This window comes from Homo sapiens, chromosome 13, assembly GCF_000001405.40.
Source record: "Homo sapiens chromosome 13, GRCh38.p14 Primary Assembly".
In the NCBI taxonomy this organism is placed as follows: Eukaryota; Metazoa; Chordata; class Mammalia; order Primates; family Hominidae; genus Homo; species Homo sapiens.
The window spans coordinates 113,149,940-113,175,320 of NC_000013.11; the positions used below are offsets into that span (position 1 = coordinate 113,149,940).

The following is a 25,381-nucleotide window of genomic DNA, read 5'->3' on the forward strand; positions in this document are numbered from 1 at the left end:
GCTTCTCATTGGGGCGGACATTTTACATTAACTTAAACAACCAGGTGCTCTTCAACTGCACGGTGCCAGGCCCCACCCCAGCTCAGGCTTGTGTGGTGGGGGCCACAGGCATCCCCCGGGCAGGTGACCTGCTCACCAGGCAGCGACCTGACCTGGCACAGTTGGCCCCCACCGTGGCCACCCTTAGAACCCCCTGTGGGCTTTAGCATGCCTGCATCCAGGCCACAGCCTGGCCACTGAAATCAGTCTCTGGAGTGAAGCTGGCCAGGAGCTTCTGGAAGCTTCTGGAGCTCCTCAGGTGCTGAGTGGTGGTGGCGTGGCAGGCGGGGCTTCGGGGGGCTCCTCCTCTCCTAGGGTCCAGATGTTTAGTCCTTGCCCTGCTGCAATCCGGCACTGTCCCTAGGCCTCAAGTTAACTGGCCATGAAAATCAAATGAACTTTCGGTAAACAGAAAAGATTCCGGACAAGGCCTGCCGTGTGTCTCCCAAACGTCTCCTGCAGTTTGCGTCTTGTGTAATGTCCCTAAGCAAAGTTCAACAGTTCTAGTACAAAAACTCCCCAAAAAAGTCATGAGCTGGGCAAAACCGTTCGTAAACAGATGTTGCGAAGTCAGGGAAAATCAAAGTGGACAGGTGTTCGACCTCCCAGAAACGGTCTGAGGAGGGGCCGGTCTCCCAGGGTGGGCGGGAGGGCATTCCTGGCCTGCCCGCTCTGAGGCCTTCTCCGTGGAGCTGGCTGTCGGGCTCCTCGCCGGCCCTTCCTGGAGAAAAGGCTTCTGCCTCGGAGCTAGCCTGCTGTTGGGCTGCGTTTCCTAGGCAGCCACGTGGTCCCCAGGGCCCCAGAGGTAAACCCTGGACTTGGATTCCCGTTTCTGGAAATCAAAGGTTGAGTGGGGTCCAGAGAGAACTCTGGGAAAATAATTACAATTGAAACCCCCCATCGCCATCACTGTCTGCACCCTGGTTCCTGCCGCACTGGGTGTCTGGTGCCCGTGCCCGTCTCAGGATAGAAAGGAAACTGGAGGCTGCAGAGAGAAGGACCTGATGGGTCGTAGCTCAGCATCTGCCGAAGCCCCATCTAGAAATAGGTTCTCGTCCTGGGAGGTGTGGGAGGGAGCCTCGGGAGGGAGACAGCAGGAGGAGAGGCCCCAGTCCTGGACACGCGCTGGGGGTTGAAGTCTCGGCTCTGCAGGCTCCTGTGCTGCGTGGCAGGGATTTTCTCTCTGCCTAAATATCGTCTTCATAAGTAAAGGCAAGTGGGCTAAACCTATGTCATCTCCGTGTTAACTCAGAATAGTCTAGGCCTGGGCCAGGGGACACTTTGTGATCTGAGACCCCCAGAATTCCCTGAGGGAGGCCCAGCTCTGTTTCGGGAAATAACTGAAGCGGCTGTTTGTGCGAGGTGAGACCCTGAGGACCGAGAGCAGCAGGAGGTCATGGTGGGGAGCAAAAACGGGAAAAGTGATTCCGCCTGAGACTGAGGGAGAGAGAACCCAGGTGAGACCCTGAGGACTGTGAGCAGCAGGAGGTCACGGTGGGGAGTAAAGATGGGAAAAGTGATTCCGCCTGAGAGTGAGGGAGAGAGAACAGAGGTGAGACCCTGAGGACCGAGAGCAGCAGGAGGTCACGGTGGGGAGTAAAGATGGGAAAAGTGATTCCGCCTGAGAGTGAGGGAGAGAGAACAGAGGTGAGACCCTGAGGACCGAGAGCAGCAGGAGGTCACGGTGGGGAGTAAAGATGGGAAAAGTGATTCCGCCTGAGAGTGAGGGAGAGAGAACAGAGGTGAGACCCTGAGGACCGAGAGCAGCAGGAGGTCACGGTGGGGAGCGAAGGTGGGAGAAGTGATTCCGCCTGAGAGTGAGGGAGAGAGAACCTGCAGCAGCCCCATCGCCTCCCCCAGTGACACCTCCCCTCCCCCTGAGCAGGAAGGGGAGCTTTGGGGCGTCCACCTCTGGAGGACGAAGGTGAGAGCGGGTGTCGGGGGCCTGGTGGGGCAGGGAGGCCCTTGTGGGTGCTGGGAGACCAGCCTGTGTGGGTCCAGAGCTGCGCTTGGATGGGGAGATGGGCCTGCCGTCTGGGAACACGCAGCCCAGGCTGTGAGGAAGAGGAAGCAGGAATGAGAGCTTCAGCCAGGACAGCTGGTGGACGGCAGACCTCGGCCCCACCATCACTGTCATGGAGCCATCTCAGCAGGGCTGGGGGTTAAGCTCCCGTTTAGAAGGACCCCACTCCACAGCCACGGGGTAGCCACTGATGTGGGCAAGCGCCCGCCATGAAGACCCCACCTTGGTGGAAGGGCACTGAGAAACTGGACACCCTCGAGACTCAGAGGATCACCTCAGAACTGGCCTGTTAACTATGCCAGGAAAGCATGCCTTTAGCGTGGCAAAACCTGGGGACCCAGCCTCCTCCTGAGCCGAAGGCAGGGGGCTGCCAAAACACTGTCTAAGCAGAGCCCGATCCTGAGTCAGGCAAGTCCAGATGGAGGAAACCATAGACTCTTAAAAAACGTCAGCGTCAGCAAAGACCAGAAACAGCCAGTGACTCTGCAGTCAGTGAGACCAGAGGAGTCTGCAGGCTGCCAGGAGAGCGAGGGAGACTGCTGGGGGTTCCCGTCAGACAGCGCTCAGCGGGGGCGAGGGGAGAGGGAGAGAGGCAGAGCCAGAGAGACAAAAAGAAAGAGAGACAGAGACAGAGAGAAAGAGAGAGACAGAGACAGAGAGAAAGAGAGAGACAGAGACAGAGAGAAAGAGAGAGACAGAGACAGAGAGAAAGAGAGAGACAGAGACAAAGAGAAAGAGAGAGACAGAGAAAGAGAAACAGAGGGGAGGGAGTAAGTCCAGGTAAAAAACAAACAAAAAAATTGAGAATAGAACAAGAGAGAAACAGAGACATGGAGACACAGAGAAAGACACAGTGAGACACAGGAGACAGAGACAGAGAGAGATGCTGAGAGACAGACAGGGAGAGGGAGAGAGAGAGGAGACACCAAGACACAAAGAGGGCGGAGAGACAGACACAGAAAGAGGGAGACAGCGGGGCTGGATGGACGTGTGGCCGGGCCAGTGGGGAGGAGAGACGAGTCCGCAGACAGCGTTCAGAGGCCGCGCTGCCTGGGTGCTGAGCCGTCCCGGGGTTCACGGTCGCAGTTTGTCCTTACAAAACGCCCAGCCGCCCCGACCTGTGGTGCTTAGGGAGGACCTACCTGGCTGTGCCGGTCTGAGAAGGGGCCAGTGAGGCCCGGTGCGGGTACGGGCGGGTGCAGATGCAGCCAGGAGGACGGGCGGGAGCGGGGGCCTGTCCCACACGGGGGCCTCGGCAGCACCGGCATGGCTGGAGGCCAGTACGGCCAGGTGTGGCGGGAGGGAGCGCCGTCTGGCTTGGGTCGTCCATCCTGACAGGACGCTGCAAGGGCAGGAGCCCCGCGCCCCGTGTCCTGCGCCCCCGCTCGAGGACAAGCCCCAGCCGCCGGTCTCCGCTGGGTTCCGACAGGCCTTGCTGGGAGGCCTTGCTGGGAGCTGGGGGTCGAGGCTCACAGACTGCGCTGACCCCAGCAGGCACAGCTGGGTCCAGGGACTCGGGAACTCGCAGCCTGACGCGGGCCGGACCCCCGGGGTGGGTGCTGAGGGCCTCGGATGCCCTCCCTGGCTGGACGTTGTGGCTGTGCTGATACTGAGCGGTAACCCTAGGAAGGAGAGTCCCCTGGGCTCAGCTACCCGGGACAAGGTCAACAGGGACACCGGCCCCAGTTCCAGGAGAAAAACAAGCACGGCCAGCGGCGAGTGTGGGCGACAGCAGCTCAGGGAGAAGCAGATTATCAACAGCGAATTCACTCAGGGTCAGCCAACTGTACGCTTAAAAAAAGATTCCTGCGGTAAACTGTATGTCTATTTTACCACAATAAAAAACTTATTGTTTTTAATTACCAATGACTTCTAAAAAATGTTTTTAAAACCCAGATCACAAATCCTGAACATAGGGCCTGAAAGGCGAATTCAGCCACCACGGAGGACTCCCGCACCGTGGAGCCGGGACGCAGGGACTCCATGCTGCGCGGAGGGCAGGGGCACGTGACGCAGGGCGTGGGGGAGGCGGGGCGTGGAGGAGGCGGGGCGCGGGGGGCGGGGCGTGGGGGAGGCGGGGCGTGGGGGCGGGGCGTGGGGGGCGGGGCGTGGGGGAGGGCAGGGGCACGTGACGCAGGGCGTGGGGGAGGCGGGGCGCGGGGGAGGCGGGGCGCGGGGGAGGAGGGGCGTGGGGGGGCGGGCCGTGGGGGAGGAGGGGCGTGGGGGGGCGGGCCGTGGGGGAGGAGGGGCGTGGGGGGCGGGGCGTCGGGGAGGGCAGGGGCACGTGACGCAGGGCGCGGGGGAGGCGGGGCGCGGGGGAGGCGGGGCGCGGGGGAGGCGGGGCGCGGGGGAGGCGGGGCGCGGGGGAGGCGGGGCGCGGGGGAGGCGGGGCGCGGGGGAGGAGGAGGAAGGGTTCTGAGTGGACGCGGGGACTCCATGCCACGCGGAGGGCAGCCGCTCATGAGGCGGGGTGTGGGGGAGGAGGAGGAAGGGTTCTGGAGTGGCTTTTCTACTCCAGAAGTCTCCCCGATCCTGAAAGAAAATCTAGACAGGTGGAAAAAAGAGAAACATGTCCAGATAGTGTCTTCCACATTAATGGTCTCCCAAGCTCTGAGGAAGCCCAATGAGTTGAACAGTTTCTCATAAGCTTGCGGGTCCCTGTCAGTGCTTCTGAGATGCTAAAAACGCCAGGCTGTGGGCTGCGTCACCATGTGTCTCCTCTTTAATTTCTTCAGGAGCTCCAGGTGATAAGCTGCCACCTCCATCCACAATGTGGACATCAGAGGATGCAGCATGCTGTGGTTTGAATGTGTCCCTATAGTGCACGTGTTGGAAACTTAATCCCAAGGCAACAGTGTTGAGAGGTGGGACCTTTAAGACGCATTCATTGTCAGAGCCCACGTGAATGAATTGATACCACTATTGTAGGAGTGGGTTCGTTATTTTGGAATAAAAGGATGAGTTTGGCCCCCTTCCTCTCTCCCCTTTCTCTCTCTCTCTCTCTCTCTCTCTCTCTCTCTCACGCGCATCCACCTTCCACCATGGGATGACGCAGCAAGAAGGCCCTCGCCAGATGGGGGCCCCTGGACCTTTGATGTCCCAGCCTCCAGAACTGTAAGAAATAAATTTCTGTTCTTTATAAATTACCCAGTCTCAGATATCCTGTTACAGCACCACAAAGTGGACTAGACCACACTCTACTCTGTGAATCTAAGACGCACCATTATTGATGAACCTGAAAGAAAGAGCATATACCCAAATTAGCTGTGGGTCAGCTCAGCCTGGAGGCAAGAGGGGGAAGCTCAGATAATCTAAACCACAGGCCAGCCAGGAACCAGCTTTGCAATACATTTACACTATTCACATGGGCTCCCAAAACTCACACAAAAAAATGTATTTAAAGGGATTGCAAAGTGGCAGTGCCCCCAGGGGGCAACATAAAGCACAACCCCTTTCAGGAAGAACTCGGCCTTGTCCAGGCTGACATTAGAACATTGGCTGTAGGGAACAGGCCAATTCAGAGATGTTGAAATCTAAAACATAGGTCCCAGAGTTGATTGAACAGGTATTTAAATAGGGACTGCGGCAAGATCTAAGTATTCAATGACCAGGTTCTCCATAGGCTGCTCATTTCAGGTTCCACACAAAGTTGTGGGGTCAGTTGATTTAAGCTGGGGACCCCCACAGAGGACACCCCAACATCTGAAGGACACGACAAAGACCCCAAAGGAAGGAAGATTCTCCTCAGGTATACAGAAGGAAAGTAAACCAGTCAATGGAAAAAGTGTCCCAATGTTGGTTGGTTTGTTTTTCAGAACAGAAGAGGGTGACAGAAGAACGATTATTCATATGAGAGATGAGGAAGATGAGTAGAACGAGGTGAATCTTAATGTTTGGACAATTTATTATTGTAGAATTTTTGGTCCAAAGGTGGTATCTTTGAGAAGGCAGATGAGAAAATTAAATCACCACATACAACACGGTCAGTCCACGTACAACACAGTCAATCACAGCTGTGGCCTCGATGTTGATGCCTTCCTGTATTAGTCTGTTCTCATGTCACTGTGAAGAAATACTTGAGACTAGGTAATTTATAAAGAAAAGCGGTTTAATGAACTCACAGTTCCACATGGCTGGGGAGGCCTCAGGAAACATAATCATGGCAAGCAGGCACCTCTTCACAGGGTGGCAGGAGAGAGAAAATGTGTGTCAATCACAGGGGGAAGCCCCTTATAAAATCATTAGCTCTTGTGAGAATGCACTCACTATCACAAGAACCACCTCCATGATTCAATCACCTCCACCTGGTCCTGCCCTTGACCTGTGGGGATTATTACAATTCAAGGTGAGATTTGGTTGGGGACACAGAGCCAAACCATCCCCCAAAACTCACGTTGAAACCTAACCCCCTGTGCAATAGTACTAGGAGGTGGGGCCTCTGGGAGGCACTCTGCCTTCATGGATGGATGACTGCCCTCCCAAAAGAGGCTCCAGGGAGCACCCACATTCCTCCCTTCCACCATCCAAGGACACGTCTATGAATCATGGGCCGTCACCAGACACTGAGTCTACTGGAGCCTTGATCTTGGACTTCCCATCCTCCAGAACTGTGAGCACTACGTTTCTGTTTATCGTAAATTACCCACTCTAAGGTGTTTTGTTACAGCAGCCCCAACAGACTAAAATGGTCCATGAGGGAAGAGGTTGTAGCTCAGATACCCATGTCAGGCATATAGGATGTGCTTAATTAACACTTATTGATCGAATGTGTATGTCCCTGTCTGCCTTTCCATTTTTAGGCAGCTATTGATGGTTTTTAAACTATCCAGCAGAAGTATTTTTAATGTAAATTTCCATGTGGGAATACATTTTCACACAAAAAAAGGCACCTTTTCTTAAGTGAAGGCCACGTAGATTGCCAGGCTGGTGCAATTCACCCAAGAGCTATCCTATACAATCAACTTCTGGCTTTCAAATTATTTTAACTCACTCACTAAAGATAAACTTTATTTTCTTTTCCCAGCTTTTTAAAGCAAACTTCACAACTTCAGTGTATTTGCGGGCATGCCCTCTTAATCAAGGGTGTCAGCTTCTTAGTTTTCTTCTGTTCCCACTTTAACAAAATTGTATTTAGAATCCTTTCATTGAGTTTTGCCACCTTTGAGTGTCATTCAATCGAACAATATCTATATGCTGACAATGCTGTCATTTCATCTGTTACCACCTGAATCTCCACTGTGAGTCCCAGCTTCTCGGATGCCCACTCCTGTCTCCACCTGGACATCCCACAGACACCTCAAATTTGCCAAACCTCGCTTCCCTCTGCCCTCCTGGAGCTTGGCCGTCTCAGCACACGCACTGCCATCCTCCCAATCGCTCAGCCCAAACCTTGGAGCCGTGCTGCCCGACACAATTCATCATGAATCCCATCAGCTTTCCCTTCCTGAAGCATCCAGACTGCAAACGTGCTTCCTGCTGCATGGCTGCACCCTCACCCCCTCCTGGACTAGCCGGCAGCCTCCCTTTTGACTTCTCTGGAATGTTCTGTTCTCCACACAGCAGCCCAGTGATCCCTTCAGAGCACAAATCTTTCCATGTCAATTCCTGTTCCCTCCAATATCTTCCCAACACAGTGAAAATGAAACACCAGGTTCTTACCTCAGGCTTCAAGGGCTGATATGGTTTGGCTGTGTCCCCACCGAAATCTTATCTTGAATTGTAATCCCCATAGTCCCCACGTGTCCTGGGAGGGACCCGGTGGGAGGTAATTGAATCATGGGGGTGGTTTCCACCATGCTATTCTTGGGATAGTGAGTGAGTCTCAAGAGATTTGATGGTTTTATAAGGATCTGGCATTTCCCCTGCTTCAGTCATTCTCTCTGCTGCCACCCTGTGAAGAGGTGCCTTCTGCCATAATTATAAGTTTCCTGAGGCCTCCCCAGCCATGTGGAACTGGGAGTCAACTAAACCTCTTTTCTTAAATTACCCAGTCTTGGCTATTTCTTCATAACAGTGTAAGAAGGGACTAATACACAGGGCCTACATCTGAAAGCAGCAAACGACAACCCTGGGGCCAAATCTGGCCCCTTAATAGCTCTTATAAATAAAGCTTTATTGGCACACAGCCAAGTGTTCATTCATGATTGTCTATGCTGCCTCTGCTACAATGGTGCTGAGCTGTAGTGACAGACACTATTTGGCCCTTCCCCGCTTTCTCCCTCCTCCCTCCCTCCCTTCCTTTTCTCCCCTTCCTTCTTTCCATCCTCCTGCTTTCCCTCCCTCACTCCCTCCTGTCTCTTTCCCTCGTTCTTTTCTGTGTATTCCACACACACCTAGAACGTAAGCTGCATGTGACTTTGTCTGTCCCGCCCAGTGCTGTGTCCCCAGGGCCTATCTCACCTCCATTGACCACACACGGGCATGGGTGCCACCTTCCACCTTGCACCTGCTGCCTTTACCTTCTGTTCTCTGTCTCCCTAAATATCTCCCAGGGTCCTCTGAGCCTTCACCGTTCATTTCTCTGCCTGGCCTCAAACAGAAAACGTCAGGAGGGAAGCACACAGCTGCACAGGTCGTGCCCCGAGGCTCCTGCTGCCGGCACCTCCCCCAGCCTGGACTTTGGCTGTGTTTGTAGCCCTGTCCCAGCGCTCCGGGTGGGAATGGCAGGCTGCGTCCCACTGCTCCAGGGCCTGGTCCTGGTCCTCGCCCTCCATCGTGTGGAGCCCTCAGGTAGGCATCTGGCTTACCTGTCTGTTGTGCCTGTGCTGTGTCTTTCTTGACTCGGTCCATGGTGGATTTGTAGATGAGGCTTTTTCCAGGAGCCAGAGGAGCCCTGAGTGCCCAGACTAGTCTTAATTCCCCTGAAAAAGCTGTTTGGATCTTTATCATTTGGTGACAAGTATTTGGGACATGATAGTGTCACTTGGGGTCCTCCCAAGAGATGCCCAAATGGAAAGAAGCCTGTGTGCAGGGGATTCAGCCGGGAAAGGCCGGGGAGAGGGGAGGGGGAAAGGGGGAGGAGTGGGGGGAGGCCTGGGTTGGGCATTGGACGAGGGGAGGGGGTGGGGCAGGCTGAGCCCAGACTGCAATGTGGGCAGAGAGAGCCTTGGCCAGGCCAGCCAGGAATGCCCAGTCTTGAGTCAGGAGACATAGCCAGGGAGCAGCCACCCTGCCTGCCTGCCACCCTTCTACCACCAGCCACTTCACTGAAGGAACGACATGGACTCCATTCTGACTCTGCCTGCACAGGCGTCCAGGAAAGCTGCAAGTCAAAACACCCAGCATCCCCGCTGGCCCCATGGTCTCCCGCTGGCCCCATGGTCTCCCACCCTGAGAGGGTGATCCCCCCGCCCTGCCCTGCCCAGCACTTACCGTAGCCGGACTTAGCTGAGCCCCCCCTGCTGTAACCCTCAGCACCGAGAGAAAAGGAGGGAGGATGGGAAGGGCCTGGGCTTTGACCCTCCCGGAGAGGGAGAGAACATGCTTTGGGACCCTCAGGTGGGAAGAGGCTCCAGAGACCACTGCCGCGGGTCAACTCATTTGCCTTCTCCTCCTGGAAATCGCAGAGCCTGCTGCAATGTATAAGTTTCTTCTTTATGTGTTTTATCAAGATGTTAAATGCTGCGCACAGAGGCAGCACAGGAGCTGATGGCTCTTGGTCCCCAGTTCTCAGTACGGGGACCTTTGACCCCAGCTCAGCCTTCCTTCGCACTCAGACCCAAAACCCAGTTGGAGCCCTCCCTCCTCCACTTTCCTGACTGAGGCCCGTGGCCTCTCTGCAGAACCTTAGTGTATCCGCACTGATCCTGGGGCTGATCCATTCGCCCAGAGGATGAAGTGCTTGCCTACCTCGGGGGAGGGAGTAGCGGGGTGGCCCTGAGGCCCTCGCAGGCTGAGAGCCTGTGGAGACGGACGGGGCTGGGGCTGGCGGCCGGCCGGGGAGGAAGCCAGGCAGCTCTGGAAAGCAGGGCCCTCGGTGCTCCCAGTCACCTGCCTTCTTGTCTCGTCTGTAGTATTTCTCCCGGCCTCCAAAGCAAACGACGTTCTGGTGAGGTGGAAGCGTGCGGGCTCCTATCTTCTGGAAGAACTCTTCGAGGGAAACTTGGAAAAAGAATGTTATGAAGAAATCTGTGTCTATGAAGAAGCAAGAGAAGTGTTTGAAAATGAAGTAGTCACTGTATGTACCCCCACCACAAACCACAGGCCTCCTCATTATTTAGACTTCTGCTGGCCCAGGGAGCATCATTTCTCAGAGATTAAGCTTAATTAATTAGCCTATTTACTTACCGATGAGGTTGACACAATCCCAGTTTTACAGATGAGGAAACAATTTAGAGAATCGACTTAATCCACCTTTCCCTACAGCAGTGAGTGGGGCTGGAAGTCAGCTCAGAGCCCACTGGACTCATTTCTTCAGGTCAGGCAAGGCCCACACACTGATCAGACACCCAGCATACATTTTCTTTCTAGGCTTCAAGTCTGAATAATTCTCCTAATTTTAGATACTCCTACCCCAAACTAAGTGTCCCCACTCCCTACAGAGGTATATATCTTTAAAATTCAACTCGGTTTATAAAAAGCGAAAAGGTGATGTGACTTCTATATCATGTGCTTTTGTGGAGGGTGGCGTGGAGATTGGCCCTAGAAGGGAAGGGCCACGTTAGGGGCTGTGGGTGGTGGGTTTGTGCCATGTCATAGACTCTGGCCTTCCTCAAATAGGTGGTGGTAAGCACATGTTGAGTAATATATCTTACAGATACATTTAGTTACTATACATTTAACATAAACAAATAGGCTGTAAAACAGGAAAATTGTGCATTGTTTCAACCACTATTGTCCTATTAAGTGAATAAAATCAACATTTTCTTACCTTCAAGTTCATCTACAGGAAAGAATATAGAAAAACAAATATCCCATTTGTAACATTTTTATGTTTTAACTCTAAAGGATGAATTCTGGAGACGATATAAGGGTAAGTGGTTTCCTTCGTCTCCTCAGAAGTATTAATTCCTCGGGATGAGGTGCGTGGGTGGGCTTAGGACGCTTCACGACCCCAGCTCAGCGGATGCCAAGCCTCTGGCTCCAGGACCCACGGTGTCTCTCCAGGGAAGGGCAGCTCCGACTCTCCCCAAGGACCAGGTCAGGAAGCCCCCGGGCTCTGCCACCAGGGCCACAGGCAGTGCCTGGTTTGTCTTGCCCAGTGTCTGGGTAGTTTCTTGGCACTCTGGGACATGGGCCACAGGCCAGGAGGGCCCCCCCAGAGCAGCTCCTCCAGCCGCCTGGCTCCTGGGCTCCTGGGAAGCCTCATGCTGCAGCAGGGTCAGAACTCGTCTCAAATTTTGGAAAGTCATGGCCCCGATGGAGACTTTGGTTAGGAGACTCCTCCCAAGGGAGGAGCTCTAGGTGGGCAACTGCAGAAGAGCATGGGACAGAAGTAACACAGATGGAGACCCACGGGGCTGGGGGAGGCCAGGGTAAGGACCCACCTGGGAATGAGTAAGCAAAGAGCTGCAGCCACCACCAGACAAGCACGGGGACAACTGGGCACAGAAGGAAGCGGGAGAGGCAGGGAAGGCCGGAGAAGGGCTGATGGGGCGGGACAGAGGGGACCGCGTGCGGACGAAGAAAGGGCACCCAGCAGAGTGGGAGGCACTGGCAGCCAGGCCTTACATCCGGAGCGGGGAGCGTCCTGGGGGCCAGGCGATGGCATGGGGAGCAGCATGAGCAGGCTCAGTCCCCATTCCTGCCACCCCCTGCCCCCCCGTCCTCCTCCTGCTCAGGTCCCCGTCCCTGCCACCTCCTCACATCCTCCTCCTGCTCAGGTCCCCGTCCCTGCCACGTCCCCCCATCCTCCTCCTGCTCAGGTCCCCGTCCCTGCCACGTCCCCACATCCTCCTCCTGCTCAGGTCCCCGTCCCTGCCACCTCCCCCCATCCTCCTCCTGCTCAGGTCCCCGTCCCTGCCACCTCCCCACATCCTCCTCCTGCTCAGGTCCTCGTCCCTGCCACCTCCTCACATCCTCCTCCTGCTCAGGTCCCCGTCCCTGCCACGTCCCCACATCCTCCTCCTGCTCAGGTCCTCGTCCCTGCCACCTCCCCCCATCCTCCTCCTGCTCAGGTCCCCGTCCCTGCCACGTCCCCACATCCTCCTCCTGCTCAGGTCCCCGTCCCTGCCACGTCCCCACATCCTCCTCCTGCTCAGGTCCCCGTCCCTGCCACGTCCCCCCATCCTCCTCCTGCTCAGGTCCCCGTCCCTGCCACCTCCCCACATCCTCCTCCTGCTCAGGTCCCCGTCCCTGCCACCTCCCCACATCCTCCTCCTGCTCAGGTCCCCGTCCCTGCCACCTCCCCACATCCTCCTCCTGCTCAGGTCCCCGTCCCTGCCACGTCCCCTCATCCTCCTCCTGCTCAGGTCCCCGTCCCTGCCACCTCCCCACATCCTCCTCCTGCTCAGGTCCCCGTCCCTGCCACCTCCCCACATCCTCCTCCTGCTCAGGTCCCCGTCCCTGCCACCTCCCCACATCCTCCTCCTGCTCAGGTCCCCGTCCCTGCCACCTCCCCACATCCTCCTCCTGCTCAGGTCCCCGTCCCTGCCACGTCCCCTCATCCTCCTCCTGCTCAGGTCCCCGTCCCTGCCACCTCCTCACATCCTCCTCCTGCTCAGGTCCCCGTCCCTGCCACCTCCCCACATCCTCCTCCTGCTCAGGTCCCCGTCCCTGCCACCTCCCCACATCCTCCTCCTGCTCAGGTCCCCGTCCCTGCCACGTCCCCCCATCCTCCTCCTGCTCAGGTCCCCGTCCCTGCTCCACTCTGTCCTCCTCCTGCTCTGGTCCCTGTTCCTGTCACCCCACCCTCCTCCTGCTCAGGTGCTCAGGTCCCCGTCCCTGCTGCCACCCCCCACTCCATCCTCCTCCTGCTCAGGTCCCCATTCCTGTCACCACCCCCACCCTCCTCCTGCTCAGGTCCCCGTTCCTGTCACCACCACCCCAACCCCCATCCTCCTCCTGCAGGCGGCTCCCCGTGCATCTCCCAGCCCTGCCTCCACAACGGCTCTTGCCAGGACAGCATCTGGGGCTACACCTGCACCTGCTCCCCCGGCTATGAGGGCAGCAACTGCGAGCTGGGTGAGGCCCCGGCCGTCCCCTTCCCCCAAGGGCCTCCCTGGGCAGGTGGGCCTCACATCCTCGGCCAGAGTCCCAATGGGCCCCTCCTGAGGTGTAGCCATGAAGGTGCCTGTGTGAACCGCGATTTGGCTCACCCCAGGGGATTCCTCTCATCCCAACCAGATTCTCCTCCAGAAACCACGCCGGGGGCTGGCTGCATTCTGAGCTGCCCCTTCCAGACAGGCCCCCATACTTTTCATAGCAGGGGCCCCTCTCCTCCCCCCACCACCTCAACCATTCACAATCTGCTCACAGGCTGGGGGGGTCACACACAGGCGTCCTCAGTGCCAGACTCCCAGTGGGAGACTGCAGACAGGGAAGACGCAAAGCACGTAAACAAATATCCTTAAATACCCGCCAAATGTCAGTGTCCATCATCGCCAACTACAGCAACAAGCGTGCTCCGCTCTCAGCACCACTGGTCAACTTGGAGCCCGTTTCTCTGGGGAAAACCTTCCTCCCAGCCGAGCCCTCTCCTCCGAAGTCCAGATTTCTGCTCCATCTGCCTCCTTGATGCCCCAGCTAATGCCTTCACAGACACCCCAAATTTACCACGTACCAAAGGGGGCTTTGACCTTCACCCACCATGTGCCCCTTTCTTAATCTTCTCCCTCTTGGTGGAAAGCCCCCATCCCAGCTGCTCAGCCACCACCGATGTCACACTAACCCCCTCCCATCCCACGTCCCCTCCTTGAAGAAGCAGCAATTTAAAGGGAATAGCCAATGCAAGCCGGCAGACAAAACAGGCGCGTGGATTAGTCCATGTGGAAAAAGGACAAATAGAAGTGTCATCACTCATGGAGTCTTTTTTTTTTTTTAATTTTTATTTTATTTTTGAGATGGAGTCTCGCTCTGTCGCCAGGCTGGAGTGCAGTGACGCGATGTCAGCTCACTGCAACCTTTTGCCTCCTGGGTTCAAGTGATTCTCCTGCCTCAGCCTCCCGAGTAACTGGGACTACAGGCACGCGCCACCACGCCTGGCTAATTTTTGTATTTTTAGTAGAGATGGGGTTTCACCATGTTGGCCAGGCTGGTCTTGATCTCCTGACCTCGTGATCCGCCCACCTCGGCCTCCCAAAGTGCTGGGATTACAGGCATGAGCCACCGCGCCCGGCCTCACTCACGGAGTCTTTGTTCTACATGCACATTCCTGAAATACGGACATGTGGGAAACACTGACACAGAGGACAACGATCTGAAGAGAATGAGAACACATGGACCAACACACCAGAACTCTTGTGTGCAAGGCTGTGATAAAATGAACATGGACCAACACACAGAACTGTGTGCAAGGCTGTGATAAAATGACTATTTCCAAGCTAGCATTTCCTTTTTTTTTTTTCCTTTTCAGCTAAAAATGAATGTCACCCAGAGCGGACTGATGGGTGTCAACACTTCTGCCTCCCAGGACAGGAATCCTACACATGCAGCTGTGCTCAGGGCTACAGGCTTGGTGAGGACCACAAACAGTGTGTGCCCCACGGTGAGTGCTCAGACCACAGCGGCCTCCAGCTTCCAATGCCAGCGACCCCGTCCACATCCTCCTTCCTTCTGTAGTACTGGGTGAAGCCCGCGGATTTGTGATAAGCAGTTGCCACGACTCAGAAGGTGGTCCGCGTCTCCACGCTGGAGCAATGGCCATGCTAGAAAGTGCAGTTTCTGTCACTAGTGCTTGCTCGGACCACTCTGAGCTAAACCATGAGTGCTGTGAGGGGTGGTTTAACTCCAGTCTGTGTGTCTGTGAATTACTGCACATTCATCAGCATTAAGGATAAGATTATAATGGTTAGTACCATAGACGGAATTATGCAACGGTTAACACCATAGACAGAGTCCGATATTCGCTGAGAAGGCGCTGATTTTTATTCTCATGTTGCTGCCGCAAATGCAGACCAGTGTGCCTGCGGGGTGCTGACCTCTGAGAAGCGTGCACCGGATCTACAGGACCTCCCGTGGCAGGTAACAGAGCGCTCTCCGCGTGCTTCAATTTATTGTTATGACTTTCACCTCACTTGTCATTTCCTAAATAGAAATGTTGACAACTAAGTGAATCAGGCATCCTGACTTTGATGGGCTACTGACTGCACTGACCAACCTCTATTCACACTTCCAACCATGTTCTAATGCCGAGTTCATAACTAATACAAAAGGACAGCATTATTTACAGCCCCCAAGACCTTTCCTCTGCAGTTCCAAACTGTTACCAATGTCATTTTCTCAGAACATAAGCATCTCAAAATCTCTGCTCTCGGCTGCTGGCCTGGCATTCTAGCTTTGTTACTTTGTTCACTAAATTTCTCTAGTTTGGCATTCATTTTTGTTCTCCTTTTCCCCTCCTTGGCTGGTTTAGAAGTTAACCATTCATTTGTTTTTGGTTTGTTTTTTTTGAGATGGAGTCTCAATCTGTCACCCAGCCTGGAGTGCAGTGGTCCAGTCCCGGCTCACTGCAACCTCTGCCTCCTGGGCACAAGCGCTTTCCCTGCCTCCACCTCCTGAGTAGCTGGGATTACAGGAATGTGCCACCACGCCCGGCTGATTTTTATATTTTTAGTAGAGACGGGGTTTCACCATGTTGGACAGGATGGTCTCGAATGCCTGACCTCAAGTGACCCACCTGCCTTGGCCTCCCAAAGTGCTGGGATTACAGGCGTGAGCCACCACGCCTGGCCTCATCATTCACTTTCTGTTTACTTAATGGTCACTCTTGACACATAAACATCCATATTTAGCACAAGTAGTCAGCTATTTCTCCCTCCTCAGGCTAATTCCCAGCACCTCATTCTGGGTCCATTTGCTGTCTGGCCAGTATTTTATTCTTTTCTTGCTTTCTGTATATCTTCACAAAATAGATATTACGATTTTTGTTATTATGGTTTTATACCACCCACACTGGCTTTGATTTACTTACCTCATTTTCCACTTTCCTTGCCTTTCAGGCCTCTAACACAATTATCTCCTGCCTGAGTATATCCTTCAGAACAGCCTTGTCCAATAGAAATGCAGTGTAAACCACATAATTTAAAATTTTCTAGTAGCCACAATAATGTAAGTAAAAGCATGTGAAATTTGGATATTTAACCCAATATGTGTCATTATTTCCCCATGTAATGAATATAAACATTATTGAGGTTATTTGCCTTTTTCCTTTACACTGAATCTTTGGAATCTGGTGTGAATTTACACTGAGGTGCAGCCCTCGTGTCCACAATGCTCCGTACCCGAGTGTGGCTGCCGTGTGGATGGCACAGCCTCAGGGGCCCCCCTTGTGAGTAATAAGCCCCTGAGGTTTCTGTGTGTGACACCCGTCAGTTTCACCCGACTCTTACAAGACAGCTGTGCCCAGCCCACTCATTCTGGCAGTTGTGTGGACTGGCAGAGAACAGGATGGAGCTCAAGGACTTGAAGCCACCCAGCTCCAAGGTGGAGAGGAAGAAACCGAAGGGAGGCAAAGCAGACGGAGTGATGGAAGGCGGGGATGGAAGCGGGAATGGTCTATCACCAGCTTTGCAAACTTCCTCTCAATCTTTTATCACTTTTCCTGCCCAAGCTTTCTAAGACAGTTCTTCCTATCGCTGTCTGCCCCATGAGTGCGCTGAGGGTCGGTACTTGGGAGGCCCAGAGTGCAGTGGTCCTCCATAGGTAGTGACAGGGTCTGGCTCTACCACCTGCAGGCTGTCTCCAGCTTCCCAGCTTACCCAAGGGAAGAGAGGGTGCGGTTCTAGTCTGCAACCGTAGCACTCATACCAGCAAGGCTAAGAGCCATATAACCAGGGAGGAGGCATTCTCTAAACACAGCTGGTGTGTTTAAGACAGAGGACACTGACTTAGGCAGGCTACATACTATTAGATTTTTTACTTCAGTATTATAAATTGTTCTGAAGTTATTTAACTGAATATATGGAATTTTCCTAAAACAAACTTTGAAAAGGAGAATAATTAAGTGACCTAGCAGGACATAGGGTTGAAGATTATCTTTAGAACTTCCTTGTTTCTTACATCCTAGGGAAGAAGTATCACTAAAAGTCTGGCAGACTGATGGCGCAAGTGCCGTCTTCTCTCGAACTTGGTTTTATCCCCTTTAAAGTGAGGATCTCACCCCTAGAGGTGCAGTGAGGATTACAGATAACGTTCTTGACTTATGGTAGGTATTCAACAAGTGGCAGCTATTATTCATAAACACATGAAGAGTTCCAGGAACGACGCCACGGTAAAGTTGGAAAAACACTTTCTCACTTGGCTCAGCATTTTGCATTAGACGGTTGAAAACTGCAACACTTAACACTTCCAGAGCCAGTACCCGTGCTATGTGGGCACATGCTTTATTTCATTTAATCTTTCAAACAACTTCTCGTTTTCTCCTTTTGTATCCCTGGTAATATTATTTGCTCTAAAATCCCCTTTGTCTGATATTGATATAGACACTTTACTTTCTAATTATTAGTGTTAGCATGACTTATCTTTTTCCAATCTTCTACTTTTAGCCTATTTGTATTTTTATAAAGTGCATGTTTAAAAAATAAATAAGGTACATGTTTTATAGGTAGTATATAATTGGCTTTCATTTTTATCCAGTGTGAAAAACCTCTGCCTTTTAATTGGGGTATTTAGGCCATTTTACATTTATTGTAATTGTCGATATGTTTACGGTTAAAGCTATCATCTTGCTATCTTTTATTTTTCTTATCTGTTCTTTTCCCCTTTTTCTGCCTTCTGTTAGATTAACTATATATTGTTATGATTCTGTTTTCTCTCCTTTGTTGGTTTATCATCTCTGGTTCTTTGTTGGCGGTTGCTTCACAGTTTGGAGAATGCATCTTTACCCTATCACAGTCCACTCCACTTTCGCCGACGCCACATCCGCTCGCTGTAGCATGAGTCCTTACAGCAATCATGCCCCATTCCTCCCCTCCTGACCTGGGTGCTGGTTTTGGCATAGGTCTTACATCTACAGATGTTATAAATGCCACTCTATACTTCCATTATTTTTGTTTAAACAGTATCCTGTAAAGAAGTTTAAAGAATAAGGAAAAAAACCTTACATATATAGTGGAATGCGGATAAATATTTAATGGGATGTCATAACCTTTTCCAGTGTTCCTTGCTGCTTTGTGTAAATCCAGGCCTCCCTCTGGTATCGTTTTCCTCCTGCCTAAAGGGCCCCTTTGATATCTGCTGTGCTGTGAGGCGTCTGGGGAAGAAGCCTTCTTGCGTTTGTCTGGAGGAGTCTTTGTTCATCTTCATCTATGAAAGGCATTGCGTCTGGCGCAGAGCCCCAGGCTGGCAGCAGTCCTCTCCTCTCTGCACTTGGGCCTGCCCCACTGCCTTCCTGTCTGCCTTGTGCCACAAGACGGCTCCCATCACCCTGCTGCTGTTCCTCACATGTCCTTACCTGTGGCACTTTTAAGATTTTAAATGCTTTTTAATTTTAACTTTCTAAGATTTCCTCTATCATGGATTTTGAATTTAATTATACTGTGTATTGTTTTCATGTTTCTTGCACATAGGGTTTGTTGAGATTCTTGTATTTGTGGGCTAATATCGCTTGTCAAATTTGAAAAATATTTGGTCATAATTTTCTTTTTTTTGAGACCGGGTCTCGCCCTATTGCCTGGGCTGGAGTGTAGTGGTGTGATCATGGCTCACTGCAGCCTCAACCTCCTGGGTTCAGGTGATCCTCCCACCTCAGCGTCTTGAGTAGCTGGGACCATAGGTGTGCACGACCACACACAGCTAATTTTTAAATTTCATGTAGAGATGGGGTCTTGCTATGTTGCTCAGGCTGGTCTCAAACTCCTGGGCTCAAGCAATCCTTCCACCTCAGCCTCCCAAAGTGCTGGGATTATAGGCGTGAGCCACCATGCCTGGCCCATTATTTTCAGATTTTTTTTCTCTCCTCCTTCTCCCTGCTCTGTTTTGGGACTCTAATTACATGTATCTTAAGCTGTTTGAAATCCCATAGCTCAGAGATGGTCTGTTCATTTTTCAAAAATCTCCGTTCTCTCCGTGTTTTACTTTTGATAGTTTCTGTTGTGATGCCTTCAAGGTCATCAATCTGTTCTTCTGCAATGTCTAATCTGCCATTCATCCTGGCCAGTGGATGTTTAACCTCATATATTGTAGCTGTCATCCAAAAATTTAATTTAGGTTTTTAAAAATACGTATTTTTGTCTCTACTTAACTTTTTGAACATTTGGACTACAGTTACAATCACTGTTTAATTGTCCTTGTCTACTAATATCTGTCAGTGCTGACTCAGTTTTGGGATATTTTTCTTCTCATTATGGGTCACATTTTCCTGTTTGTATGCCGTAATGGATTTCCAGACATGTGAATTTTATCCTGTTAGGTGCTGAATATTTTGTGCTCTATACATACACTTGGATATTGTCCTAGGACACAGTTAGGTTGGAAATACTTTCATCCTTTGGCACATTGCTCTTAAGATTTGTCAGTAGGACCAGGGCAGCGCTCAAGTCTAGAGCTAGTTATTCTGACTACTGAAGTGAAACCCTTCTATGCATCCTGCCCCGTGCCCCACTGAGTCAGGGATGTTTTAACTCAGCTGGTGGAAGCAATTGCTATTCCCAGCTTGTGTGAGTGTCTAGCACAGGTCCCTCTCACACTCTTGGGTGGTTCTTACCCGGCCATAATTAGTCTCCATGTACACGTGATCACCACTGCTCTGCTGAAAACTGCTAGGCATGTGGCCATCCTCCAGCATTCTCTACCAAGCTCTCTCCTCTGCCGGACTCTGTTCTGCAGGACTCTGTTCTGCAAACTCCAGCCACTGTGGCCTCCCTGGGCTCTCAGCTTTCTCTCTTCAATTTAGGGAGTCAGCAGGGCTCCAACTGAGATGCCCCGTCCTGCTCTGCACCATGGAAATTCTGGACAGTAGCTGAGACCGTTGTTTCTTGGGGATTACGATTCCTGAAAACCATCATTCCATAGATTTTGTCAATTTTTTGCTTCAGGTGGGAGGGTAAATCTGATCACTGTTACTTCACCTGGGCCGAAAGGGGAAGTGCCGGCCCCATTTAATCCCTAAGCAAACAAAAGCTTAGACTGTCAACAATTCGTTAACAATCCTGTACCATTTGAGTGCTGGGGCAAGAATCAAATACGGCTGTCTGCCTTTGGCGGGGGGTGGGGGTGGGGGTGGGGGGGTGGTCCATATCCCTATCCAGTAGACTTTACTGCCCCTAATCCTGCAAATTGTCACCAGCTATTTATTGTCTGTTTTGATTTTTAAAGGTAAAGTTAACAAATTCCGAAGGAAAAGACTTCTGTGGTGGTGTTATAATACGGGAAAATTTTGTACTGACAACAGCAAAATGTTCACTGTTACACAGGAATATTACTGTAAAAACATGTAAGTATTTTATCATGAGTTTTTATAAAACCACATTGGAAATACACTATCCTATGTAAGAATGAAATGACAAATTTAAAACTGGACTGTTTCTAATGCAACATAGAACTGAATTTACTGTCAATAAAACTGAGATACTTATCAACTCAGGAAGCATATGTAAAATACCAGCAGAAGCCTGGGCCCAGCGACAGGCAAGTGCTAACTCACACTCGGCAAGGGAGGAAATCACAGCCTACATAAGGATGACTTCATTTCCCACTGAAATTGAGCAGTTGTGGCATAAGAGATGGATAATTGGCTAAAAATCGGAAGAATGGGGCTCGAATCCCCCAGCAGTTGAGACCTCAGGCTGAGGCAGTGGCCTTCTCATCGGCTTATCTGTGCCTATTTCTTTCTTTTTTTTTTTTGAGACAGAGTCTCACTCAATCCCTCAGGCTGGAGTGCAGTGGCATGATCCAGGCTCACTGCAACCTCTGCCTCCTGGGTTCAAGCGATTCTCATGCCTCAGCCTCCCGAGTAGCTGGGACTACAGGCATGCACCACCATATCCCACTAATTTTTTGTATTTTTAGTAGAAATGGGGTTTTGCTATGTTGGAAAAGCTGGTCTTTACTCCTGGCCTTAAGTGATCGACCTGCCTCGGCCTCCCGAAGCGCTGGGATTACAGATGTGAGCCACTGTGCCTGGCCCTTAAATATTTTTCAATCAACAAAATAACGTGAAAACCACTTCTCAACAGCCAATGTTTGACTGGCCTGGAGACGTTCCACATCACTGCTTCCTGCTTTTTAATCATTTCACCACACCCCACTGCACTCCAAAACAGAAGAACTAACCTTGACTGTTTTTAAAGGCTGTGGCACTTGGTTGCAATCGTGCAATCTGTGAGTGGCCTTTCTGTCCGCAGAAAGGCACAGTGTCCACACCACGGGGCGGTGAGCCTGCGGGTCCTCCAGGGCCGGTCTCTCCCTCCTCACGTGGCTCCCTGAGAAGCTCGTTTGAGCATTATGTCCCCTTGAAAATCAGACTGTAAAGAACTGACGATTGTTCATGATTTCAGATTTTAACAGAACGAGCCAAGACCCGCTGATGATCAAGATAACGCACGTCCATGTGCACATGCGGTATGACGCGGACGCGGGGGAGAATGACCTGTCACTGCTGGAGCTGGAGTGGCCCATCCAGTGCCCAGGTGCGGGGCTCCCCGTGTGCACCCCTGAGAAAGACTTCGCTGAGCACCTCCTCATCCCACGCACCAGGGGCCTCCTCAGCGGCTGGGCACGCAATGGCACTGACCTGGGCAACTCGCTGACCACGCGGCCTGTCACACTTGTGGAGGGGGAGGAGTGCGGGCAGGTCCTGAATGTGACTGTCACCACCAGGACCTACTGTGAGAGAAGCAGCGTGGCGGCCATGCACTGGATGGATGGAAGTGTGGTCACCAGAGAACACAGAGGCTCCTGGTTTCTCACGGGGGTCCTGGGCTCGCAGCCAGTAGGAGGGCAGGCTCACATGGTCCTTGTCACCAAGGTCTCCAGGTACTCACTCTGGTTTAAACAGATCATGAACTAACTGAAACTCAGCTAGCCAGAATGAACAACACAACCGGAAGCGGGATTCCAAGCTGGCACTGCCACTGTGGAGGGCGCTGAAACTTCATCACACACTGAGAGGCCGTCACAGCCCCAGACCACCCGCTTGGCCCACGCAGCAGCAGAGCCGCCGTTTGCTGGGTTGTTTACCGAGCACTGTGACCTTTCTTTCCCTGGAACTCTTTATCTCAATAGAGACCTTAAAAGAAAACATGAGATACGTTAAATAATAAAATAAGATAATCTGTCAGTCATAAAGCAGCCTGGTTTCCAGAAATTCTTTCCTTCTCCAAGTCCAGTGTTCCCTGTGCTCAGGGAATAGCCACCCCAGCCTGCACACTGGTGAGTGTGTTCTGGTGCAGAAGCGACAACAATCTCCGGTTACAGCAGAAAGTGACCTCCTCTGTTGGTTTACCAATTGCCACTGTGACTGAGGACCATGGCTCAGTGCAGAAGCAGCCACTAGAAGCAGGTTGGCAATGGAGGAGAATGACCCTGTGGGTATCCCAGAGAGGCAGCATTAGAGGAAAGGGCCAGAGAGCACAAGAGAGGCTGAGGAGGCACGCCGGCGTCTCACGGGGTTGTGCACCCGCCCTTCTCTGGGAGGGTTCCCACGGAAGGTTCCGGGGCCCGAAGTCAGGGCTGAGCACTGAGACCCAGCTCTCTGCTCGTCCCACCAGGTGGCTCTTGGACAACTGTTCCACCTCTTCATGCCTCAGGGTCGCCCAGGGTAGAATCCCAGCACCTCACCAATGGGCTGATGGGCAGCTAGGGCAACGCCCAGCACTGTTGTGGCTGGAGTGTGTGTCCCTTCAAAACTCCAAAATTGGAACTTACCCCAAGATGATGATATGGGGAGGTGGGGCCCTTGGGAGGTGACTAGGCCATGAGGGCTCTGCCAGCCCCTTCCATCTCTTCTCCCATACGAGGACACTGCAGTGAGGTGCTACCCTGGAGACAGAGAGCCCTCAGCAGACACCAAATCTGCCGGCACCCAGATCTTGAACTTCCCAGCCCCCAGATCTGTGAGAAATGAGTTTCTGTTATCACCCAGTCCATGGTATTTTGTAGAACAGACCAGGACAGCACGTGCTGAATCACAGTAAACACCTGCTGTCATGAAGGCTGCAGCTGCAATGCAAGTACCAAAGACAGAGCTGCAGTCCAGCCCCCAGTGAAACGTCCTTGGAGACTGGAGCTCCTAGCAGGGTCTGAATTTGCACTGAAATGGACAGAAATGGCATAAATGTTCACATTTTAACTCTTAGTTAAGGAAGGGGCACAGCTGCTTCTCCACCAGTGTCCTTGAGTGACACAGAGCAGAGCATCGTTGAAGAGCAGAGAGGACTTTTAAAAAGAGGAATTAAAAATGTAGGTGGACAAATATTCTCTTGAGTTGAGAACAATTTACACATAACTTGGGTTTTTAAGCCTTACTGTTCTTCAGCACACTCTCTTTCATTTACGCTTTAACCCCAGAATTAAACTTTTCTCCAACCTGTAGATGAAATGGCCCATTTCTCTGAAAGGTCCTTGGCAAAAAGCAACACTGTAATTTAAGGCAAATTAATGGGGAGGGCAGTTTAAAATTCACTAGGGTGAATTTTAAAGTCTTAGTGAAGTTTGGTTGTATTATTCTCAAACTACAATAAGGTAAGTAAGTCACTGCTTTAAATGCCTACTAATGATTTTAAAATCAGCTAATGAACATGGCAGGCTTTCTGTACATAATGCTGCAGAAATGTCTGCAATCTTGCTTCTGGTACTTCTATTACAAATTTGGATTTACTAGAGTGGAAGCCCTGCTTGAAAACTATTCCAGTCCAGGCGCAGTAGCTCACGCCCGTAATCCCAGCACTTTGGGAGGCTGAGGCGGGCGGATCACGAGGTCAGGAGTTCGAGACCAGCCTGACCAACATGGTGAAACTCCATCTCTACTAAAAATACAAAAAAAAAAAAAATCTTTGCCAAGCGTGGTGGCTCACGCCTGTAATCCCAGCTACTGAGGAGGCTGAGGCAGGAGAATCACTTGAACCCGGGAGGCAGAGGTTGCAGTAAACCGAGATCATGCCACTGCACTCCAGCCTGGGCAACAGAGCGAGACTCCATCTCAAAAAAAAAAAAAAACCTACTTCAAACACAGCTGGGCAGAGGCAAAGCATATGAAGACCCTCCCTCCGTAATGGTGAAATCTGTGAAATCAGGAACAATCAGAGAAAGCTACAGGCCCAGACTGTCAGCAGAGACATGAGGGGCCTTCAAAATGAAGTAACTACTCTACTGGCATTTAATGACATGCTTAGAAACTACACCATAAACAAATCTAACAAAACAGTAAAACTCAAGAAAAGGGAAGCTAGCTATGATGACTGTTTTTCTTGTTTTTTGAGACAGGGTCTCTGTCTGCCACCCAAGGCTGGAGTGCAGGGCACGATCCTAGCTCATAGTGGGCTCAACTTCCTGGGCTCAATTGACCCTCCCACCTCAGCCTCCTGACTACAGGTGTGGACCACCATGCCCAGCTAATTTTTGTATTTTCTGCAGAGATGGATTTTGCCATATTGCCCAGGCTGGTCTCGAACTCCAGGGCTCAAGCAATCTACTGGCCTCAGCCTCCCAAAGTGCTGGTATCATAAATGTGAGCCACCACGTCCAGCCTGTGATGATGTTTTAAAAGGGCCAAACTAGTTCACACTTGGGCAGAGATTATTAAGTCCAATATTTGAATCCATGCAAACACACTGATACATGCCCATGTGTACGCCCGTGGACTTGAATGCTGCCATGCTGGACACAGGCCTTGACTTTGCGTCTCCACCCAAATTCCATCTTGAATTGTAATCCCCACGTGTGGAGAAGTGATTGGATCACGGGGGCGGCTCCCCCACGCTGTTCTCGTGACAGTGAGGGCGTCTAACGAGAGCTGATGGTTTTAAAAGTGGCAGTTTTGCTCATGCTCACTTCCCCTTCCGCCATGATTGTAAGTTTCCTGAGGTCCCCCGAGTCATGTGGAACTGTGAGTCCATTAAACCTCTTTCCTTTACATATTACCCAGTCTCGGGCAGTTCTTTATAGCAGCGTGAGAACGAACTGACAGAGGCCTGAACACCAAGAGGTAAACGTAAGGACACCTACACTGAGGTTGTTTCTTTCATCGCTAAGAATAACCATCCAATTACCTTAAAGTATCAATCC

At 51.9% G+C, this 25,381-nt stretch overlaps 3 protein-coding genes and 1 long non-coding RNA gene across 10 annotated transcripts in view, besides 5 other annotated features; 2 read left to right on the forward strand and 2 right to left on the reverse strand.

The window, feature by feature from the left end:
* On the reverse strand, window positions 273–4,047 carry F10-AS2 (F10 antisense RNA 2). Its single transcript, XM_011537532.4, has 3 exons — window positions 3,975–4,047; window positions 3,205–3,831; window positions 273–871 (listed from the first exon to the last, which is right to left on the reverse strand). Exons 1-3 carry the CDS (start codon window positions 4,045–4,047, stop codon window positions 543–545), a joined length of 1,029 nt encoding a protein of 342 aa, XP_011535834.1. The 3' UTR covers window positions 273–542.
* Window positions 4,428–4,477: a silencer, noted in NCBI's record as "silent region_5538". NCBI's record gives its function as "represses an Ori minimal core promoter by ATAC-STARR-seq in GM12878 lymphoblastoid cells {active_cell/tissue: GM12878}" and the evidence as "EXISTENCE:reporter gene assay evidence [ECO:0000049][PMID:35858748]".
* LOC124903216 (uncharacterized) lies at window positions 4,561–6,671 on the forward strand. The gene is made up of 4 exons (XR_007063880.1): window positions 4,561–4,926; window positions 5,118–5,176; window positions 5,878–5,941; window positions 6,591–6,671. It is a non-coding gene; the product is annotated as an uncharacterized LOC124903216 (long non-coding RNA).
* Window positions 8,192–8,769: an enhancer, noted in NCBI's record as "H3K4me1 hESC enhancer chr13:113812445-113813022 (GRCh37/hg19 assembly coordinates)". NCBI's record gives its function as "activates a minimal SCP1, AML or CMV promoter by ChIP-STARR-seq in naive H9 embryonic stem cells {active_cell/tissue: H9 hESC(naive)}" and the evidence as "EXISTENCE:reporter gene assay evidence [ECO:0000049][PMID:30033119]".
* PROZ (protein Z, vitamin K dependent plasma glycoprotein) lies at window positions 8,709–22,447 on the forward strand. Of its 5 annotated transcripts, XM_017020813.2 has the most exons (10): window positions 8,709–8,791; window positions 9,260–9,325; window positions 10,075–10,238; window positions 11,009–11,033; window positions 13,070–13,183; window positions 14,574–14,705; window positions 15,114–15,181; window positions 20,474–20,591; window positions 21,655–21,786; window positions 21,977–22,447. In XM_017020813.2, exons 1-10 carry the CDS (start codon window positions 8,722–8,724, stop codon window positions 22,090–22,092), a joined length of 1,005 nt encoding a protein of 334 aa, XP_016876302.1. In that variant the 5' UTR covers window positions 8,709–8,721; the 3' UTR covers window positions 22,093–22,447. The 5 variants fall into 5 exon arrangements, with proteins under 5 accessions (XP_016876302.1, NP_001243063.1, NP_003882.1 ...); NM_001256134.2 differs by having other exon boundaries at window positions 21,655–22,447; NM_003891.3 differs by lacking the exon at window positions 9,260–9,325 and having other exon boundaries at window positions 21,655–22,447.
* Window positions 9,346–9,923: an enhancer, noted in NCBI's record as "H3K4me1 hESC enhancer chr13:113813599-113814176 (GRCh37/hg19 assembly coordinates)". NCBI's record gives its function as "activates a minimal SCP1, AML or CMV promoter by ChIP-STARR-seq in primed H9 embryonic stem cells {active_cell/tissue: H9 hESC(primed)}" and the evidence as "EXISTENCE:reporter gene assay evidence [ECO:0000049][PMID:30033119]".
* Window positions 15,063–25,381, reverse strand: part of PCID2 (PCI domain containing 2) — a 43,668-nt gene continuing 33,349 nt past the window's right edge. For 2 of the 3 annotated variants that reach the window (XR_001749631.2, XR_007063691.1), the window contains exons 16-18: window positions 21,431–22,385; window positions 19,863–20,149; window positions 15,063–15,244 (exon numbers count right to left, since the gene is read on the reverse strand). The gene's annotated coding sequence lies outside the window, so the exon portion shown is untranslated. The remainder of the gene's footprint in view (window positions 15,245–19,862; window positions 20,150–21,430; window positions 22,386–25,381) is intronic. The other variant, XR_007063692.1, reaches the window with a different exon arrangement.
* Window positions 21,728–22,251: an enhancer, noted in NCBI's record as "H3K4me1 hESC enhancer chr13:113825981-113826504 (GRCh37/hg19 assembly coordinates)". NCBI's record gives its function as "activates a minimal SCP1, AML or CMV promoter by ChIP-STARR-seq in primed H9 embryonic stem cells {active_cell/tissue: H9 hESC(primed)}" and the evidence as "EXISTENCE:reporter gene assay evidence [ECO:0000049][PMID:30033119]".
* Window positions 22,846–23,346: an enhancer, noted in NCBI's record as "H3K4me1 hESC enhancer chr13:113827099-113827599 (GRCh37/hg19 assembly coordinates)". NCBI's record gives its function as "activates a minimal SCP1, AML or CMV promoter by ChIP-STARR-seq in naive H9 embryonic stem cells {active_cell/tissue: H9 hESC(naive)}" and the evidence as "EXISTENCE:reporter gene assay evidence [ECO:0000049][PMID:30033119]".

What these genes read in the sequence shown, in the direction of transcription:
- F10-AS2 (XM_011537532.4), bottom strand. Translation starts at nt 4,047, where the DNA reads ATGGAGTCCCTGCGTCCCGGCTCCACGGTGCGGGAGTCCTCCGTGGTG. An exon ending in ATTCGCCTTTCAGGCCCTAT is followed by an intron (nt 3,832 to 3,974) that starts GTTCAGGATTTG and finishes GCTGACCCTGAG; the next exon opens with TGAATTCGCTGTTGATAATC. An exon ending in TCTCAGACCGGCACAGCCAG is followed by an intron (nt 872 to 3,204) that starts GTAGGTCCTCCC and finishes TTTGATTTCCAG; the next exon opens with AAACGGGAATCCAAGTCCAG.
- PROZ (NM_001256134.2), top strand. Translation starts at nt 8,722, where the DNA reads ATGGCAGGCTGCGTCCCACTGCTCCAGGGCCTGGTCCTGGTCCTCGCC. An exon ending in CACAGGCGTCCAGGAAAGCT is followed by an intron (nt 9,326 to 10,074) that starts GCAAGTCAAAAC and finishes TCTCGTCTGTAG; the next exon opens with TATTTCTCCCGGCCTCCAAA. An exon ending in TTGAAAATGAAGTAGTCACT is followed by an intron (nt 10,239 to 11,008) that starts GTATGTACCCCC and finishes TTAACTCTAAAG; the next exon opens with GATGAATTCTGGAGACGATA.